Source organism: Homo sapiens, chromosome 18 (assembly GCF_000001405.40).
Source record: "Homo sapiens chromosome 18, GRCh38.p14 Primary Assembly".
NCBI classification, from domain to species: Eukaryota; Metazoa; Chordata; class Mammalia; order Primates; family Hominidae; genus Homo; species Homo sapiens.
Window position 1 is genome coordinate 79,737,729 of NC_000018.10, and position 19,315 is coordinate 79,757,043.

General features: G+C 55.4%; 1 protein-coding gene across 13 annotated transcripts in view, besides 2 other annotated features; it reads left to right on the forward strand.

Moving 5' to 3' along the window:
• The window catches only part of CTDP1 (CTD phosphatase subunit 1), a 79,858-nt gene extending 60,961 nt beyond the window's left edge, over positions 1-18,897 (forward strand). For 11 of the 13 annotated variants that reach the window (XM_047437924.1, XM_047437922.1, XM_047437926.1 and 8 more), the window contains one exon: positions 15,924-18,897. In XM_047437924.1, coding sequence (XP_047293880.1) covers positions 15,924-16,062 — 139 coding nt within the window. In that variant the 3' untranslated portion in view covers positions 16,063-18,897. The remainder of the gene's footprint in view (positions 1-15,923) is intronic. The other 2 variants (NM_004715.5, NM_001202504.1) reach the window with 2 other exon arrangements.
• Positions 9,682-9,851: an enhancer, noted in NCBI's record as "experimental_50709 CRE fragment used in MPRA reporter constructs". NCBI's record gives its function as "activates a minimal promoter by MPRAs in K562 erythroleukemia cells, with activity observed for both the introgressed and non-introgressed 18:77507495 or rs56378884 variant alleles {active_cell/tissue: K562}" and the evidence as "EXISTENCE:reporter gene assay evidence [ECO:0000049][PMID:34662402]".
• Position 9,767: a transcriptional cis regulatory region, noted in NCBI's record as "Neanderthal adaptively introgressed variant 18:77507495 (GRCh37/hg19 assembly coordinates) or rs56378884 in the experimental_50709 CRE". NCBI's record gives its function as "modulates activity of the experimental_50709 enhancer by MPRAs in K562 erythroleukemia cells {active_cell/tissue: K562}" and the evidence as "EXISTENCE:reporter gene assay evidence [ECO:0000049][PMID:34662402]".
• Positions 18,898-19,315: the final 418 nt, after the last annotated feature.

Here is a 19,315-nt window from a genome sequence, read left to right on the forward strand (position 1 = left end):
CGTCTGTTGATTCTTAGCGTTCAACATACAGACTGCGTCTCTTCTTGCCTCCGCCCTGCCAATATCAACACGCCAGGATTTGGGGGTGTGGAATGACGCAGTGTTTCCTATGACCGTAAATTGCTTTTACCAAATAGAATAGGACACGGTGATGCTGTTCCCTTTCTTAAACATCTGTTTTACCTGGATTTGATAATCACCTCACTTTTGTTAGCTTTCTTCCTTTTTGCCTGTTTCTGAATCCCTGGCTGCCTCTCCGCTCCACTCCCCCGGCCTCCCCCGCAGGTCCCCGCCTCCCCCCGCCCGCCCTGCTCACCGCCCCCGGGAGTTGCCTTCCCCACTCTCTGGGGTGTTCTCTGTCTCTGCATTTTGGTGGAGTACATCTCCCAGAAGCTTCCTGAGAAAGCGTCTGTCCTGTCCATACGTCCGCAGTCAGCGGGCTGCGTAACCCCAGGTGGCAGCATCTCCTTGAGGATTTAGAAGCACGGCTCCCGTCTTCAGCTCCGGGGCTGCTCCGAGGCCGTCCGAGGTAACCTCGGAGGCTTTGTCTTGCCCGCCTGTTAGACAGGATGTGGCCCTCCAGGTCCTGCCGACATCCTCAGTACAGACTTGTGTCCCGAGGATTTGCCCTGAGAACTTGGTCTCCAGAGCCTTCTTGCATCTGCTGCGGGGCCGTGGGCCGGTATTTGGACCTCTGCATCCTGGTTTCCTCACCTGTGAAATGAGGTAGGAGCAGCGCCAGCCTCGGAGGAGCTGCTCCCAGCTTCAGCAGGCTAGCAGGGGGCACTCCAGGTACACGTCTGGTGTCTGTGGTGAAGAAGACAGTGCAGACTGCTTTCTTTCTCCCCACGTCTGGTCTTACTCTTAGGCTCTCCTGTAGGTGAATAAACAGCATTTCAAGAAAAGAGCGTAACTCATTCAGGCAATCCAGTTACAAAATTGGGCCAGAAATTCCAGCAACAGATGCAGACAAGACAAGATAGTCATTGTTCCGTTTGCAGGAATTACTTACAGAAAATCACTTGATTTGCAGCTCTGTGGTTTAGCAGGGAAATGAGTGCAGCTTCTCTCCTGGCAACCCACTCTGTGTTTACCACGTAGAAAGCAGCATTTTCCAGCTGTGTTGAAATGATATGAAGTTGTTTTAGGAGAGATTTTGAAATTCCGTATTGGGTGATAACAAGCCTTGGTTCTTCCCACATGAATTACGGGGTGGTTTTGCCTGGCCGTACCTTCCTTCACTTTTCGGTGTAGACCCATTGGGTCTGTCATGAAGCTCTGGGGTCAGGCCTGGGGAAGGCGGTGCACTGGGGGCCTCTGGGAGGGTTCCACTGCCCTCCCCTGAAGACCCTCTAGCCCGGGGCTGAGCTGAGCCAGCTCCAAGGAGTCTGTCTGCCGTGGCCATGTTAGTATCTGCGGATTTGCAGCGTGCTCTTTGTATGAACATAGGTGGTTTAACCTGATAGTTTTTTTTTCTAATTAAAAGAAGAAACCCAAAGTGCTTTTCCACTAAGACCAGTCAGGGTGTTGCTGGCGGCCAGCCACGTCATCCAGGATACGTGCTGCATCCGTGTCTCCCCCTGTGGGCAACTGGATGTGGCGCTCAGCGGGTCGGGACCCAGAGCTGCTGAAGACTTGGGGGCCAGGACTGGAGTTAGCACCCCTGGGTTTTTGTGGTTTTTTTTTTTTTGCTAAATGACCTGCGCACGGCAGAACTGACCCTCACGGGTGAAACCACGCAAGCACGATTAGAGAACCACGCAAGCACGGAACTGACCCTCCCTGGTGAAACCACACGAGCATGATTAGAAAACCCCTCGGCTCTGGCGCGGCTTCCATGCTGCCCTCCCAGCTGCAGGAGGTGGTTGGGGTTCTGCCTCTCCATTCTGGCTCCTCGGGCAAGGACCAGATCAGTACTGTAATTGCCGTTTCACTCTATGTCTTACAGACTCGGTGGGCTTGGGTGATTTCAGAATTTGAGATCAGGAGAATAAAGTGTCCTGGGAGTCTGTTCAGGTTCTGCTGCGCAGCCTTCATACCCGCCGCCAGGACGGGTGGGACTCTCATACCCACGGCCGGGACGGGTGGGACTCTCATACCCACGGCCGGGACGGGTGGGACTCTCATACCCACGGCCGGGACGGGTGGGACTCTCATACCCACGGCCGGGACGGGTGGGACTCTCATACCCACGGCCGGGACGGGTGGGACTCTCATACCCACGGCCGGGACGGGTGGGACTCTCATACCCACGGCCGGGACGGGTGGGACTCTCATACCCACGGCCGGGACGGGTGGGACTCTCATACCCACGGCCGGGACGGGTGGGACTCTCATACCCACGGCCGGGACGGGTGGGACTCTCATACCCACGGCCGGGACGGGTGGGACTCTCATACCCACGGCCGGGACGGGTGGGACTCTCATACCCACGGCCGGGACGGGTGGGACTCTCATACCCACGGCCGGGACGGGTGGGACTCGGCGCTTGCTCCCTGCCTGCACCACGCCTGCCGTTTGCGGATCGCTGTGGACGTGTGGCCGCGATAGCAGCCTGACTGCTGGGGGCCGTGTGTGCCCCTCAAAAGGGTGGGGCGGTGGGGTCTTTTCAGCTTCCTGTCCAGCTGGGTTTTTGTGACTCTTGGACTTTGGGGACCTCACTTCTTCCTTAAAGACCAGGGACTTCCAGTTTTATTTCATTCCTGTTTATGGGGTATTCAGTGAGATGTGAATGTTTTGAAATTTTTCACATGAAATTTTTGCTTGTAACGAAGTAAATGTGGTTTGAGTTTTTTATTTTTGCATGTTGAACATGTAGGTTTCATCATGATTCTTTCCCATGCGTGGCAATGCGTTTCGTACAGAAGCTGGAGGTCACTCTGCTCTTTCCTGTCAGTGCTCTAGCTGGTGGTACGTCTTGCTAATTTCGCATGGCCAAGCTGTTCCACAGAATCTTAATGTCAGTTGAACTTGAAAATGAGTTTTAACATAAGGGGGAAGGTTGTGTTTTTTACTTGTCTACCAAGAGTGATTCATTCTTCTCTCAAGTCAACAAACATCAGATGCCTGTTCTATATGCAGCCGCCTGCCGGGCACTTTCACTCCTTAAAATAAATCCTCAAAATAAAAAACCAAACAAGTCATCTTCAGAATGTTTAAGGATCTCACAGACACATCGTCCCAACACCAGTTCCAGGTACCGAAAAGAACAGGCGCCCAGGTGAGGTGAGGTCTCCTGCACAGGTTGGGTGAGGTCCCCCGTGCGGTTGATCTGTCCCTGAGTCCCTGAGGTCCCCCGTGCGGTTGATCTGTCCCTGAGTCCCTGAGGTCCCCCGTACGGTTGATCTGTCCCTTAGCCCATGGTTGGGTGAGGTCCCCGTGTGGTTGATCTGTCCCTGAGTCCCCGAGGTCCCCTTGCGGTTGATCTGTCCCTGAGCCCGTGGTTGGGTGAGGTCCCCGTGCGGTTGATCTGTCCCTGAGTCCCTGAGGTCCCCCGTGTGGTTGATCTGTCCCTGAGCCTGTGGTTGGGTGAGGTCCCCCGTGCGGTTGATCTCTCCCTGAGCCTATCCTTTTATGCTTTTGGTGGCCGGAGGTGAATCATCACTCACAAAGGCAACTTTAAAATATACCATAGCCTCTTTCTTCAGATCATTCCTAGAGTTCGCGGAGAAGTGAAAACGACATTGAGTTAACTGCCAAGAAACATAGCACAGCATGGTGGGAGCTGTTATGTTACTGGCAAGAAGATGAGCTGGTCGTTCCCATGATCTGTTGACAGAGACAACAGCTGATGATGGCTCCCTAAGTACTTGGAGATTTTAGTCCTGGTGCCCCCGTTTCCTGTCCCATCTGGTGCAGTGATAAACAGGAAAGGAAAACAGCACCACGTTTTAAAGGCTTAGTTTCCTGACACGAGTACCCAGATCCCAACACTCAGCTCTTCTCCACAGGGGTGTGTGGTCAGCCTGCGTGGGAGACACAGGGCGGCAGGCAGGGTCCTTCTGAGGTTCACCTCCTCTTGTCCGTTTGGGAGGGTTGCGTGAGCTCCCACTCTTAGACAACAGGGAATAGTGCTCCACCAGAAACACTCACACATCAAAGTTGTTTTTAATCTTGGATAATTAACTAAGAAAGATAATCTTTAGGAGAGAGAGGAGCAGAAAAACTATTCAAAGACATAATGACTGAAAACTCCCCAAATGTAATGGAAAACATTAATTTATACATCCCAGAAGCACAACAAACTCCAAATAGGATGAACACAAAGATCTTTACCTAGGCACATCCCAGTGGAAGAGGAAATGCCGGGAGCAGGGCTGGGGGCCCAGAGGAAGCATGAGGCGTCGTGGGAGAGAGGCCTGGGGGCAGCAGAGGAGGCATGAGGTGGAGGCCTGGGGGCAGCAGAGGAGGCATGAGGTGGAGGCCTGGGGGCAGCAGAGGAAGCATGAAGCATGAGAGAGAGAGAGAGAGAGAGAGAGAGGCCTGGCACCAGAGGAAGCGTGAGGGGTTGGTGGAGAGAGGCCTGAGGGCAGCAGAGGAGGTGTGAGGTGTCCACGAGAGAGAGGCCTGAGGGCAGCAGAGGAGGCATGAGGCGTCCATGGGAGAGAGGCCTGAGGGTGGGAGAACCCATCACACCACAGCCGCTTCTCCTCAGAGATGGCACCACCACACCCAGGCCCCTGTATCCAGCAAAACAACCTTTCAAAAACAAAGGCAGGGTTTTCCCAGACAAAGTGGGAATTCACTAGCAGACGCACCTTACAAGAAGTTCTAAAGGAAGCTCTTCAGGCTGAAAGCAGGTGACTTAGATGAAATCTGAATCCACACAAACAAGCAAGCACGAGGAATGCAGATTATGTAACTCTGTAAGGTAGCGTGTTGCTTCTCCTTTATTCTCTTGATTTAAAAAGCAGTATAGTTTTATAGTATAAGACTCTATGCCTGGACATGTGGTGGCTGTGGCTCACGCCTGTAATCCTAGCACTTTAGGATGCCGAGGTGGGCAGATGACTTGAGGTCAGGAGTTCAAGACCAACCTGGCCAACATGGTGAAACCCTGTCTCTACTGAAAATACAAAAATTAGCTGGGCATGGTGGTGCACGCCTGTAATTTCAGCTACTCAGGAGGCTGAGGCACAAGAATCACTAGAACCCAGAGGGGAGGTTGCAGTGAGCCAAGATCATGCCACTGCACTCCCGCCTGGGCCACAGAGCAAGACCCTGTCACAAAACGAAATAAAACAACTCTTTGTACCTAATTGTATTGTTGGGCCCATACCATGTGGAGATGTAACATTTGCCAGTAGCCGCGCCGAGGAGGGGCCTAGGATTAAATGACAGCAGATGGTGACTGGAATTTACAGCAAGAGCTGAAGAGACCCAGGAGTGCTGAACAAGAAGGTTGGTCTCACCGTGCTCCGAGTGTGCACCTGTTCCCTGTCCTGCTGTAAATAATTACAACGATGCATTGTTGGGTTTGTAGCATGCATGGATGTGGTATCGTACAGTGAAGCAAGGCCGAGCACGGTGGCTCATGCTTGTAATCCCAGCACTCTAGGAAGCTGAGGCGGGCGGATTGCCTGAGTTCAGGAGTTCGAGAACAGCCTGGGCAACATGGTGAAACCCCATCTCTACTAAAATACAAAAAATTAGCTGGACATGGCAGCATGCGCCTGTAGTCCCAGCTACTCAGGAGGCTGAGGCAGGAGAATTGCTTGAACCCAGGAGGTGGAGGTTGCGGTGAGCCGAGATCGTGCCACTACACTCCACCCTGGACAACGGAGTGAGACTCCGTCTCCAAAAAAAAAAAAAAAAAACAGTGAAGCACAAAGTGAGGAGTCTGAGTGTGCACCTGCTCTCACTCCTGCTGTAAATAATTACAACGATGCATTGTTGGGTTCATGGCGTGCATGGATGTGGTATTGTACAGTGAAGCACAAAGTGAGGAGGGGCTGAGCTGTGCAGCAGCCATGTCTCCGTATCGAATTGGAATTAGGCCAGCATGAGTCCAAAATTGATTCTGATCAAGCGAGATATACGTATGCTAAACCCAAGAGCAGAAGCTAAGGAAGTAACTCAAAATACATCGTGAAACAGATCATACAAGTGTGAAAGGAGGATAAACCTTGGGCCCCACCATCATGAAACTGAAGGGAAAAGTCACACTGGGAACTGCTCAGGGCCAGCCTGCCTCCCGTTCTATCCAACCTCCCGCCCATTCTATCCAAAGCCACCCTCCGCTCACTGAGACAGATGCAGCTCAGGGCAAACCCGCCACCCATTCTATCCAAAGCCACCTTCTGCTCACTGAGACAGGTGCAGATCTGATGGCCTCCTTTGGAGAGGCTGATCAGAAACTCAGGAGGATGCAGCCATTTGTCTCTTGTCTACCTGTGACCTGGAAGTCCCTCCCTGGTTCCAGCTGTCCCACCTTTCCAGAGTGAACCAGTGTTCATCTTACATATGTTCTTTCATGTCTCATGTCTCCCTAAAATGTGTAAAACAGAGCCGTGCCCCGACCACCTCAGGCACATGTCAGGCCCTCCTGAGGCCGTGTCACAGGCAGGTGACCCCAACCTTGGCAAAATAAACTTTTTAAGTTAAGTGAGACCTGACACAGATACTTGGAGTTCACAAAAGGAACCAAAATGTTACATTAGACAGTATTCACTTAATGCAAAAGAAAACAGAAAAGGGAAGACAGGAACTAAAACTACATGAGGCATGAGAAACAAAGCAGAGTGGCGGTGTGAACGTGAGGGGATTCAGAGCTTTAACTATGAGTGGATGGACAACTGGGTCAGAGGCCATCACCGTAGGAAAGCTGGAGTGTTCCGCTAATATCAGAGAAGACTGAATTTAAACAAAGAATGCTTCTACAGGTAAAGAAGGACGCTTTATAATGATAACGGATGGAATTACGATGCTAAGAGCTGGATCCATCGGGAAGAGTGACAGTTGCTAGCACATGTGCACCGGAAGTGAGAACCAACTCACCAGTGGCAGAAACTGACAAGCAAAGGGAGAGGCGGCCATGGCGAGACCTTGGAGGTTCCCCCGCCACTCAGTCATGGGGGGCGTCGTGGGAGGATGCTGCCCCTGGAGGGGCCACAGACCAGTCCTGAAGCTCTTACAGGAACGCAGGAGACCCTGGAGGGTCTTGAGGAAGAGCAGGCCAGAGGACGCACATCGTGCTTCAGAGTAACGGAGGCTGGTGTGATGACAGTGTGCTGGGCCGTGGAGCAGGAGTGTCCATCCCAGAACAGCCCCATGTCCATGGCCAGCTGGCTCTCAGCAGGGGTACCAGGCCACTCCATGGGAAAGACTTGTGGGTCCTGAGAGTGGGGTGGGGAATCAGAAGGTGCTCCTGGGATTAGGAGGTGTCCCCACGACATGTAAGTTCATGTGAGTTTCAGGCTTTTCCAAAGCAGTTGTAATGACTGTGGCATGGATAATTTTTGTGGGGAAGATGAGTGGTCAGCACACATACGTGTTTGACTGGATTGTGCGTCCCTCCCATGCGCGTTCTGTCCCTGCGTCCCTCCCGTGCGCGTTCTGTCCCTGCGTCCCTCCCGTGCGCGTTCTGTCCCTGCGTCCCTCCCGTGCGCGTTCTGTGCCCGCGTCCCTCCCGTGCGCGTTCTGTGCCCGCGTCCCTCCCGTGCGCGTTCTGTCCCCGCGTCCCTCCCGTGCGCGTTCTGTCCCCGCGTCCCTCCCGTGCGCGTTCTGTCCCCGCGTCCCTCCCGTGCGCGTTCTGTCCCCGCGTCCCTCCCGTGCGCGTTCTGTCCCCGCGTCCCTCCCGTGCGGGTTCTGTCCCCGCGTCCCTCCCGTGCGCGTTCTGTCCCCGCGTCCCTCCCGTGCGCGTTCTGTGCCCGCGTCCCTCCCGTGCGCGTTCTGTGCCCGCGTCCCTCCCGTGCGCGTTCTGTGCCCGCGTCCCTCCCGTGCGCGTTCTGTGCCCGCGTCCCTCCCGTGCGCGTTCTGTGCCCGCGTCCCTCCCGTGCGCGTTCTGTGCCCGCGTCCCTCCCGTGCGCGTTCTGTCCCCGCGTCCCTCCCGTGCGCGTTCTGTCCCCGCGTCCCTCCCGTGCGCGTTCTGTCCCCGCGTCCCTCCCGTGCGCGTTCTGTCCCCGCGTCCCTCCCGTGCGGGTTCTGTCCCCGCGTCCCTCCCGTGCGCGTTCTGTCCCCGCGTCCCTCCCGTGCGCGTTCTGTGCCCGCGTCCCTCCCGTGCGCGTTCTGTGCCCGCGTCCCTCCCGTGCGCGTTCTGTGCCCGCGTCCCTCCCGTGCGCGTTCTGTGCCCGCGTCCCTCCCGTGCGCGTTCTGTGCCCGCGTCCCTCCCGTGCGCGTTCTGTGCCCGCGTCCCTCCCGTGCGCGTTCTGTCCCCGCGTCCCTCCCGTGCGCGTTCTGTCCCCGCGTCCCTCCCGTGCGCGTTCTGTCCCCGCGTCCCTCCCGTGCGCGTTCTGTCCCCGCGTCCCTCCCGTGCGGGTTCTGTCCCCGCGTCCCTCCCGTGCGCGTTCTGACCCCGCGTCCCTCCCGTGCGCGTTCTGTGCCCGCGTCCCTCCCGTGCGCGTTCTGTCCCTGCGTCCCTCCCGTGCGCGTTCTGTCCCCGCGTCCCTCCCGTGCGCGTTCTGACCCTGCGTCCCTCCCATGCGCGTTCTGTCCGTGCGTCCCTCCCATGCGTGTTCTGACTCTGCGGTCTCTTCAGGGTTTGCCACTCGAGGGTGTCGGAGGTGGAGGTTGTGTTCGTTCTCCCTTCACATAGCACGCGGAGTTTTGGTTTGTGAAAGTTTGCTTTTTCGTGTTTTCATAGCTACACAAACTGCATCTCTTGGAAAAGTGAGAGCGTTTTGACAACTGCTGTCACTGTGAACAGGTCAGGAGGCCCTGCCTTGCCCACCCCATACTTAGGGGCTTAAGAAACAAGGTCTCACTCTGTTGCCTGGGCTGGAGTGCAGTGGCACGATCATGGCTCACTGGAAGCTTGAACTCCTGGGCTCAAGGGATCGTCCCGCCTCAACCTTCCAAGTAGGTAGGACCACAGGTGCGCACCACCATGCCTGGCTAATGTTTTTAAAATTTTTTTGTAGAGATGGGGACTTCCTTTGTTGCCCATTGAGACCAGCCTGGCCTCAAACTCCTGGCCTCCAGCGATCCTCCCGCCTCAGCCTCCCAAAGTGCTGGACCTACAGGTGTGAACACCGTGCCCACTGTGCCTACCGTGCCTAGGGGTGTTAAAGTGGTCCTTGGTGCACAGGGCTAAAGGCTCCTGGTCGCGTGACTTGACCGTGTGCTGCCAGCCACTCTGGTGCCTGCAGTTTAGAATTTGGGTACAAAGCTGCTGAATCAAATAGTGTTTTTTAATGATTGCCCAATTTTAAATGAGAGACATTAATTTTTTTCCAGTCCTTTCATACCAATACACGAAGCAGCAATTCTTACCCTAAAATAGGTCACTGAACTTCCCACTTTAAAGAGCCCCGGCCTGGCAGCAGGCTCTCGGAGGGGAGGGTCAGGTGTGGTGAGCGCCCGGCCAGCTCCCTGCTGGGAAGGGCCCCTGCCCCTCTTCCACCTGTAACACACACAGGTTCATTCTAATGCCATGAGATTGCTGAGGAGAGCATGACAATGTTCACACCCAGAGCTGTGGCATCCCCGCTGGGGCCCTGCGGGAACTGGGACTCAGGTGCAGACGCCACGGAGGGAGGGCACCGCTGGCTCTCCCTGGGCCCGGGCCCACTCTCAGCAGCAGACCAGCTCTTGCCGCCTGCTTTCCTTGGCAGAGCCCAGCCCTGTGTTGTAGGTGGTTGGACTGTTGGGTCCCGCTGACGTCATCTGGTGGGTTCCTTCCAGGTCCCCGCGGAGCCCCCCACGCTTGTGTGAGGCTTCACCTGCTTTGGGCAGCCCCAACGCCGCTCTCACGCCACGTTCCACTCCAGGGTGCACTGGGGAAATTATCCGCCATGCGCAGCGCCTCCTGCAGGTGTCCGGTGCGTGCAGACCTGGCCACGCCGGCACGGGTTTTTTAGTGACGTGGCGGCCTCACGGTGAGCAGCACTGGTCTTCCCTTTTGTTCCCGCGGCCACGCTGGCAGTGGCCACGGGAACCCTGTGCCTGTGGATTGTTCCATCCCCTTTGGATTAGATGCTGGTGTGACACAATTGTGCATTTGCCGCACTGACGGATATCTTTCCGGTGCCAAATCGTGTGCACTGTGACAGCCCAGTGTGTTTGGAAAACTGAAATATGGGGGTGGGGTATACATATATATTATTCTGTTTGTATTCTTGCCTTATTCAATGTTGAATTTGAGATAAATGTTAAAGCTGTAAATTTTCCCCAAATTCTATCTGTTAACATTTCTCTATGGAGCTGTGCAGCTGGTTGTATGAACAAAATACAAATATTGCATGTTATGCTGAGGAAGTGAAGCTAGTATCAGTTGCGGACATTTACTAACCATAGTCTGCAGCTGTGTCTAATGTTCGAGGTAATTTTTAATGACTAAAGTCCATTCATCTCGTATTTTTAAATCCCATGCTCCAAACATCGTTTAACTAAGAGCAAAGGTTTTGTGCCACCTTAGTGAGGCGCTCCCTGTACTTCATCACGGAGCGAGACCGAGGGTGCAGCATTCGCAGCACCAGGAGGGACCGCGCAGGGCCTGGGGGGACCCATGGAGGGAGGGCCGCCCCAGCCCGGGCTCTGTGACCCCTCAGGGTGGAAGCCGTTGACCTGGTCCCAGACACTCAGCCTCATGGAAGCCCTGACCCTGTCTCCCGAGTCAGCTACGTTTTTCCAAAGTGCGTGGAGGACGTTTCTCAGCATTCTTACCAGCATCGTGAGGTCCAGGCCCCTGCTGTGAGATGGGGATGGTGGCGCCTGCCCGCAGGTTTCTTGTGAAAATCTAAGGAAGAAGCACTTAGCACAGCCCCAGACCACAGCGTCCCCAGCTGTGGATCCACAAGAAACTGTTCCCAGCGAATGCCATGAGCGCCTGCGGCCGCCTCATCTCACACAACAGCGACAGAGTCATGATCAGAGGCCTTTAGAGTCATCATTATCATGTCTGTGTGTGAGCCGTGACTGCCTGGGAGCCGTGTCTGCCTGGGAGCCGTGACTGCACATGAGCCGTGTCTGTGTGTGAGCCGTTCTGTGTGTTTGCCGTGTCTGTGTGTTTGCCGTGTCTGTGTGTGAGCCGTGTCTGTGTGTGAGCCGTGTTGGTGCATGTGCACAGGGCTCTCCAGCGGGAGCTGAGGTGGTCCCTTCCGTGGGCTCGGTTCAGGTCCTGTGGCACCCTGCCAAGTTATGCTGGCGTTTCTGAAGGTGTGTCCTGCTGTCAACAGCACTCTGGGTGTTTTTGTCGGCCTTGTGAGGGGAACATATTTCTAAACCTCAAACAGAGAGTCACAGCTGGCATTTCCCATTCTTTGCCATCCTCTTGCTGCCATTAGAACTCTGCCACGGATGGCTTCCTCGCTTGATTTTAGAAAGAAAAGAATTGTTGGAACTGGTTCTTGCACCTCTCGCCCTCCCCCTCCTCTCCCTGCTTGCCCCAGGGTCCCGCCTGGCTCTCGTCTGCCCCGTCTTCACTTTCGGTCGGGGCCCCTGCCCCTGCCCCTGCTCTGCTCAGTGCCCCTGATACGTCCAACCCAGCGTCGCTGTGAGGGAGTCAACCACACCTGCCAGCACCCCCGAGTCTGGCCCCACTAGGAGGGGCCAGGGCTCCCTTGAGCAAGGCATCAGCACACAGGCAGGGAGCCGGGCACCAGACTGTGAGGGTCGCGCCCCGTGCACACGAGATCCAGGCCCGCCCCCTCCTGGACTTGGTGACCGTCCCGAGCTCGACCTGAGAGGGCACTTCGGCTCTCCTGTTCACAGTCATGACTGCCCCCTCCCCGAGGTCAGCGCCATGCACTGCTCTGGGGGCCTGAAACACCGCCTCTGTTCGCAAGGGTCTCCTGTCCCGTCCACCTGCCAGTGGGTTGAGCTCTTCCAGGGGTTCGGGACACCCCTCACGGCAGCACCTTCACGTTTACGAGAACTGTCTCTGTCTTGTTTTGTTTCAAGTTCTCAAAACGGAGTGAGGTGGAGGAAGCCTAATGGGAGGATGGGAGCCGGGTTTTCCCGGAACAGCCGTCAGCGTGTATGCGGAGGAAAAGAGATGACTGATGAATTTGTTAATTGCCAAAAGCTTGTTGCTGTAGCAACCGGAGGCCAGACTCGTGGCCCTGACAGCGTCGTTAGTGTCAGCAGAGACTGGAAATAAAGGAAACTCGTGTATGATACGCCTGGCGTCCTCAAAGCAAACAGCAGGCGGTGCCCAGCCCAACACAGGCACGGGCACAAGATCTGCAGATGAGGCATGGAGGGGAAGCGGGCGGTGCCCAGCCCAACACAGGCACGGGCACAAGATCTGCAGACGAGGTGTGCAGAGGGGAAGCAGGTGCACAGAAAAGGTGCGCGGAGATTTTTTTTTTTTAAGACAGGGTCTTGCTCTGTCGCCCAGGCTGGAGTGCAGTGTTGCGGTCATGGCCCAGGCTCACTGCAGCCTCCATTTCCTGGGCTCAGAGGATCCTTTTTCCTCAGCCTCCCAAATAGCTGGGACTCCAGGCATGCACCGACACTCCCAGCTAATTTGCAACCCCTCACTCTCATGTAGCAATTAAAAGTAAGCCTTTATTTCTCAGTAGAAAATATTCATTCCAGTTGACATAAAAATAAATTCGTTTAAAACTTGGACGGCAGGTATTAGGGCGTGCACTTCCCGCTACTCTGCCTTTTTTTTTCCCCCCCGAGACAGAGTCTCGCTCTGTCACCCAGGCTGGAGTGCAGTGGCGTGATCTCAGCTCACTGCAACTTCCGCCTCCCGGGTTCAAACAATTCTCGTGCCCCGGCTTCCCGAGTAGCTGGGACTACAGGTGCCCACCACCACACCTGGCTAATTTTTTGCTTTTTTTTTTTTTTTTTTTTTTTAATGTGGAGATGGGGTTTCACCATGTTGGTCAGGCTGGTCTTGAACTCCTGACCTCAGGTGATCCGCCTGACTTGGCCTCCCAAAGTGCTGGTATTACAGGTGTGAGCCGCCACGCCCTGCCTACTCCGCTTTTAAATGATGGGATGCATTGCTTTTTAAGAAAGGATCTCATGGATCCAGGGGTCCCAGTATGTGATGAAAGATGGCAGTTCCCATCTTACAGAGCGGGCTGGACTCAGAGGCAGGCCGGGGAGGGAGGGGCTGGGTACAGAGGGCAGGCTTGGGAGGGAGGGGCTGGGCACAGAGGACAGGCTGGGGAAGGAGGCACTGGGCGCCGAGGGCAGGTCAGGGAGGGAGGGAGGCTGGGCACACAGAGGGCAGGTCAGGGAGGGAGGGAGGCTGGGCACACAGAGGGCAGGCCAGGGAGGGAGGGGCTGGACTCAGAGGCAGGCCGGGGAGGGAGGGGCTGGGTACAGAGGGCAGGCTTGGGAGGGAGGGGCTGGGCACAGAAGACAGGCTAGGGAGGGAGGGGCTGGGCGCAGAGGACAGGCCGGGGAGGGAGGGAGGCTGGGCACACAGGGCAGGCCAGGGAAGGAGGGGCTGGGCACACAGAGGGCAGGCCAGGGAGGGAGGGGCTGGGCACAGAGGCAGGTCCAGGAGGGAAGGAGGGAGCGGGGGAGGGGCTGTCATCCTACGGCCCAGTGCCTGCCACCTGGACAGGACTTGGAGTTCTGGGGCCCTTGTGTTTCTCTCATGCGGTATTTCCTGGACCACGAACAGTTGGGTTCTCTGAACGAGCTTGTCGTGACTGATCGGCTGTGTGTGCCAGCCCACGGGGTTCTCTTGTCTTCTGTTGGTTCCATCTGATCAGCTGATTTTATTCCTTTTGTCTCTTATAAATGAACTGTGATTCTTCTAATACCAGCAAGAATGGTTTCAAGTTATTTCTGCGCTATAGTTTGTGTATATTAGCCTCGAGTGCATGTGTGTTACATGCGTGCTGTGTGTGCGTGCAGGTGTATCACATTACCGTGCTATAGTTTGTGTGTGAGCCTCGAGTGCATGTGTGTTATATGCCTGCTGTGTGTGTGTGTGGCTGTATCACACATAATGTGTCACATAGGTGTGTATGTTAGCTACATTGTATCTACGTTAGCTAAGAAAATATTCTTAGGGTACTCACATATGGTGACTGTCCCTAGTTTCTCTCAGTGACTTTTCGGGATTGTAACTGAAGGCTAGTATGGCTCAGTTGCCCCTAATCAGGGTAAAATCAAAACAGGCTGTGCACATTTAACCAGGCTTCCACCTCTAAGGTTGTAGCTGAGGTTCCTTGGCGCAGTGGGACGTCCCAGCACGGCACCAGGAGGGAGGGTGTCTGGCAGGACATCAGGTGGTTGGAATTTCAGGGCTCTGGGGATCTCCTGGGTGTGCCCCGATCAAGTCGGCTCACGTCACAGAAACCAGGTGCACCTGCAGCGGCTCCTAAGGAAAACCTAGTGGCACTGGCTGGTTATGCAGAGGCTCGTAAGGAAAGCCTAGTGGCACCGGCTGGTTATGCAGAGGCTCCTAAGGAAAGCCTAGTGGCACCGGCTGGTTATGCAGAGGCTCCTAAGGAAAGCCTAGTGGCACCGGCTGGTTATGCAGAGGCTCCTAAGGAAAGCCTAGTGGCACCCGCTGGTTATGCAGAGGCTCGTAAGGAAAGCCTAGTGGCACCGGCTGGTTATGCAGAGGCTCGTAAGGAAAGCCTAGTGGCACCCGCTGGTTATGCAGAGGCTCCTAAGGAAAGCCTAGTGGCACCGGCTGGTTATGCAGAGGCTCGTAAGGAAAGCCTAGTGGCACCGGCTGGTTATGCAGAGGCTCCTAAGGAAAGCCTAGTGGCACCGGCTGGTTATGCAGAGGCTCGTAAGGAAAGCCTAGTGGCACCGGCTGGTTATGCAGAGGCTCGTAAGGAAAGCCTAGTGGCACCGGCTGGTTATGCAGAGGCTCGTAAGGAAAGCCTAGTGGCACCGGCTGGTTATGCAGAGGCTCCTAAGGAAAGCCTAGTGGCACCCGCTGGTTATGCAGAGGCTCCTAAGGAAAGCCTAGTGGCACCGGCTGGTTATGCAGAGGCTCGTAAGGAAAGCCTAGTGGCACCGGCTGGTTATGCAGAGGCTCCTAAGGAAAGCCTAGTGGCACCGGCTGGTTATGCAGAGGCTCGTAAGGAAAGCCTAGTGGCACCGGCTGGTTATGCAGAGGCTCGTAAGGAAAGCCTAGTGGCACCGGCTGGTTATGCAGAGGCTCCTAAGGAAAGCCTAGTGGCACCGGCTGGTTATGCAGAGGCTCCTAAGGAAAGCCTAGTGGCACCGGCTGGTTATGCAGAGGCTCCTAAGGAAAGCCTAGTGGCACCGGCTGGTTATGCAGAGGCTCGTAAGGAAAGCCTAGTGGTACTGGCTGGTTATGCAGAGGCTCGTAAGGAAAGCCTAGTGGCACCGGCTGGTTATGCAGAGGGCTGGTGTTCTCTTTGTTTATTAAGAGTCATTTTAGCAGTGGCCTGAGGAAATGAGAATTTCCAGACCGTGGCCCACTTGATGAGCTGGGAGGTGCTTGTTCACATAACACTAATAGTTACTCTGACAGATGATCTTAACTTCCCTGTCCTGTTTTCCTGTTCTGATGTCTTCTGGCATCACAGGTGTTCATGAGCGGCCGGAACGTGCATTTGCAGCAGGTGAACACCTGCTTTGTCAGTGGTGTCCTGGTGTGTAACAGGGCTGGGGCCTCTTCTCCTGCGCTGGGGCTCTGCTGTCCACACGTGTGTGACGTGGCCCTGGGTCGGTGGCCTGTGTGTGTCCTTGACCAGAGAATTGTGCCGTCTTGTGTTAAAACCACGGAAGCCACTTCCCAAATGCAGACCAGGCGGTGACCCGGCGTTGTGCGTTTGCCACAAGCATCTCACACCATGTTTGCTTCTCTGCAGAGGCCACAAGAGGAAGCTGAATGAAGAGGACGCCGCCAGCGAGTCCAGCAGGGAGTCCAGCAACGAGGATGAGGGCAGCAGCTCCGAGGCCGACGAGATGGCCAAGGCGCTGGAGGCGGAGCTCAACGACCTCATGTGAGCGCGGGCAGCGGGCAGGGACTGAAGCCTGACCGACCTCCAGCAGCACTCGGACGTCCCCGGACCAGCCCTCAGTCTCGGTCCACGCTGCTTTCTTCCCAAAGGACATGTATATTTGCAGAGCTCCACATACAGAAACACATTATTTTGCAGAAATAGGTGTTTTTAAGAAGTTTTACTACAGGAATGTCTACTTTTGTAAGTGACAGGTGTTAAAGGCCCAGGTGTGCTGTGCCAAAGAGCTCAGCAGAGGCTCACGTGGCCCAGGCTGGTGCGCCCGCTGTCTCGGTAAGGGGCGGGTTGGTGTGTTTTCCCCTTGTGTACCAGAGCACATTCCTTAGGGGACGGCTTTGGGGGTCCCACGAGACATGGACTAGGAGTTTAAGCAGGACAGTGTGCGTGCACGAGCTCCGAGCCCAGCACAGACATGCCTGGAACCCCCGCCGCCTGCTGCTCCCTCCTAGGGAACCCATTTCCGGGGAACGCCGTGACTGTCGGGCAGCCTGGAGCTTCCTGCAGCCTCCTACGCAGGGTCCACGCCACGTGGCCTGGGCTGCCATCCTGCCGTCCTCCCACTGGCATCCTGGCAAGGGGGCGTTGCTTTTCCTGGGCGGCCTTTTATGTCTTGGAGACACCTGATGTAAAGTTTCTGTAAATCTATTTCATATCTGACCCACCAAACAGATTTCTCTTTAATAAAAATCCTTTTTGTAAGTTCTCTTCTCGTGGGTGTGTGGCAGCGGTGAGCACCCGCCTCCTCCCTCGCTGGGATCCAGCTCCTTAGCTGTGAAACAGAAACGAAAAAATTCCCACGGACAGGACCGTGTGGAACGGCAGAAATGGAAACCGCAGAACTGCGAGCGTGATGATCTCAGGGTTTCGCCTCTGAGCATAAGAACCAGGCTTGTAGCTGGTATTTTAAAACGGTTAAGTGTGAAGAATTACTCTCTTGCATTATTTTCATCCTTCCCTTTTGTTTGTTTGGGATGCGGGGGCCCGAGAGCTACAGGTAGGTGCTGGGCTATGGCCGCCGCCAGGACCCCTCCCGGCCAGCAGCCTCGGCTCACGTCCCCTCCTCCTCCCAGCATCAGTCCCGCAGCGTGGCGGTGGGAGGCTGCACCTCGAGGCCACGGCCCTTCTCCAAAAGCACACACTCCTGCTTTCCGACGGCACCCTCCCCTGACCACAGCTCGGGAGGTGGCACGTGTGAGAACTCTCCATCCACAGGATGTGGCTCTCGCGGGACCTCCAGGCTCAGGCTGTCTCCGCTGGGTGTGGGACCTTTCCTGTGGGGTTTTCGATGGAGGTTGGCTGGGGAGGGAGGCATCCTCAGTGGGTAGAGGACCCCAGGGTCCTGGTGCTGCTGTCGTCAAGATGCGGCGACATGGTGGCAGAGGAAAGGCACCGTTACCCAGCAGCACGCCAGCCCCGGGTGACTGTTTCCTGTACTAACTAGGTTATTTGCAGCGCCGAGTGAAGAGGCAGCTTCACCACCCAACCCACCTGTGGGTTCTCCGGGGTCTGCAGTCTGAGGAGGCTGCAGGATGACCAGACGCCGGTCAGGGAGTTCCTCCTGTCCAGAGAAGCAGGAGGTGAACTGGGCCCACCTCAGGTCCGATTTCGCCACGAGCAAGAATGTAAGATGAATTGGACAGAAAACAAAAATAGATGTACAAGTTGATACCCAAAGAAAGCAGAAGATTCTACAGTTTATAGGGAGGGGCACAAAACGTGCAGGGAGTAATGTGCCGGGGGGTGGGGGCAGGGGCCGATGAACGAGGCCTTGATGCTGTGTGGAGACCTCTGGGAAAGGCTGGGAGACCTTCCCTCCTTCCACAGTGGTTTCTCCCTGAAGGCGATTCTGCGTGTGGTTGGTCCTGCTGGGACCAAGGTGGCCCCTTGTTCTGCTCTTGGCCGAGTCCCCTCTGGCTTCATGGGGGTGTTAATGAGGCTCTGCAAGGCCTCCTTAAACACAGTGTGGAAATACAGGTGGTGCTGCAGGGGCAGCGAGAACGGGGACCTCTGCTGCTGGGTCTGGCCTAGGGGTGAAGAGGACGGGAGGAGGGTGGCGTGGTAGCTGGCTGCGCGGGGCCTGGTGACGGGAGGGGCCGGACCGCATGCAGCATTCAGGACCAGCGTGGCCCTGGGTGTTCGCCTGTTCTGACCGTGTGGTCGAGTGAACAGAGCATGCAGGGGAGATGCAGCAGGTTCTCCCCGACGCGGAAGAGCAAGGGGTCCCCGGTTCCTGGAGGAGCAGCGGGATTGCCCCAGGCTCTGGGATCGCCCACGGGGGCAGCGGGCCAGCACCCCCAGCCGCATCTCTGCACAGCCGTGCTGCACACCTTCTCCGTCACGTGTTGGAGGTGGGTCTCAGCACCAGCACATCCACATTGATAGCTTAAAATGGGACTTTTCTCCCGCCTGTCTCACTGTTGGCCCGCCCCCATGCAGCGGTGGGGACCCCACTGCAGGGACTCCAAGAGCCCCATCCTGTCCTCGGCTCCAGCCTCCATCAGCACCAGCCGTGTCCTTGCAGCCCTGACTGGAGCAACTCCCAAACTCTGCTGCCCGGCAGGTCTTCTGACCCTGCCCGCGGTGATGGCACCCTCTGGAAGGCTGGCCCAGGACGGCACCTCCATGCTGGCAGCCCCTGAGTGTAGTGTGTGTTCTACACAAAAGAGCCAGGAAGTCATCTGTGATCATTGTTTAAGGGACTGTGATTAACGTTTATGAAATGTTCTGTGCTATGCGAAGAAACCACTGAATGTTAGGGAAAATATTAAATACTGAATAATTATACAACTGTTCCAAATAAAGTCTTAAGAAGAAACTTGAACTTGCTTCCCTTAGTATAAATTTCATGTCAGGTTTTAAGCTTAAACTGGCTGTAAGGAAATTTGTGATTTAAAATTTGAAGAGGTGACTCCTTAAATTTCGAGATAGTCGTTGCATAAATAGATGATAAATTTTAGACCATTCAAAAATCTGTAACAGTTAAATTTAATGAAATTTCCTTCCTTTTCTCTTTTGAGAAATGGAAAGTTGAAATTTTGTATAACAGCATGCACAGATTTCATATCTGATCAGTTTTTCATATTAAGTTTTCAAAACAACCATGAAGCTCTAATCTGCACGTGCGCTTGCTGTGAGACGGTGCCTGGCAGACGTGGAGATCGGGAGGTAGTGGTTCTCCACCTGGTGCCCACCCAGTGATCACTTTTAGCGCCAGACATGCCATAGGTTTTGACAAATGT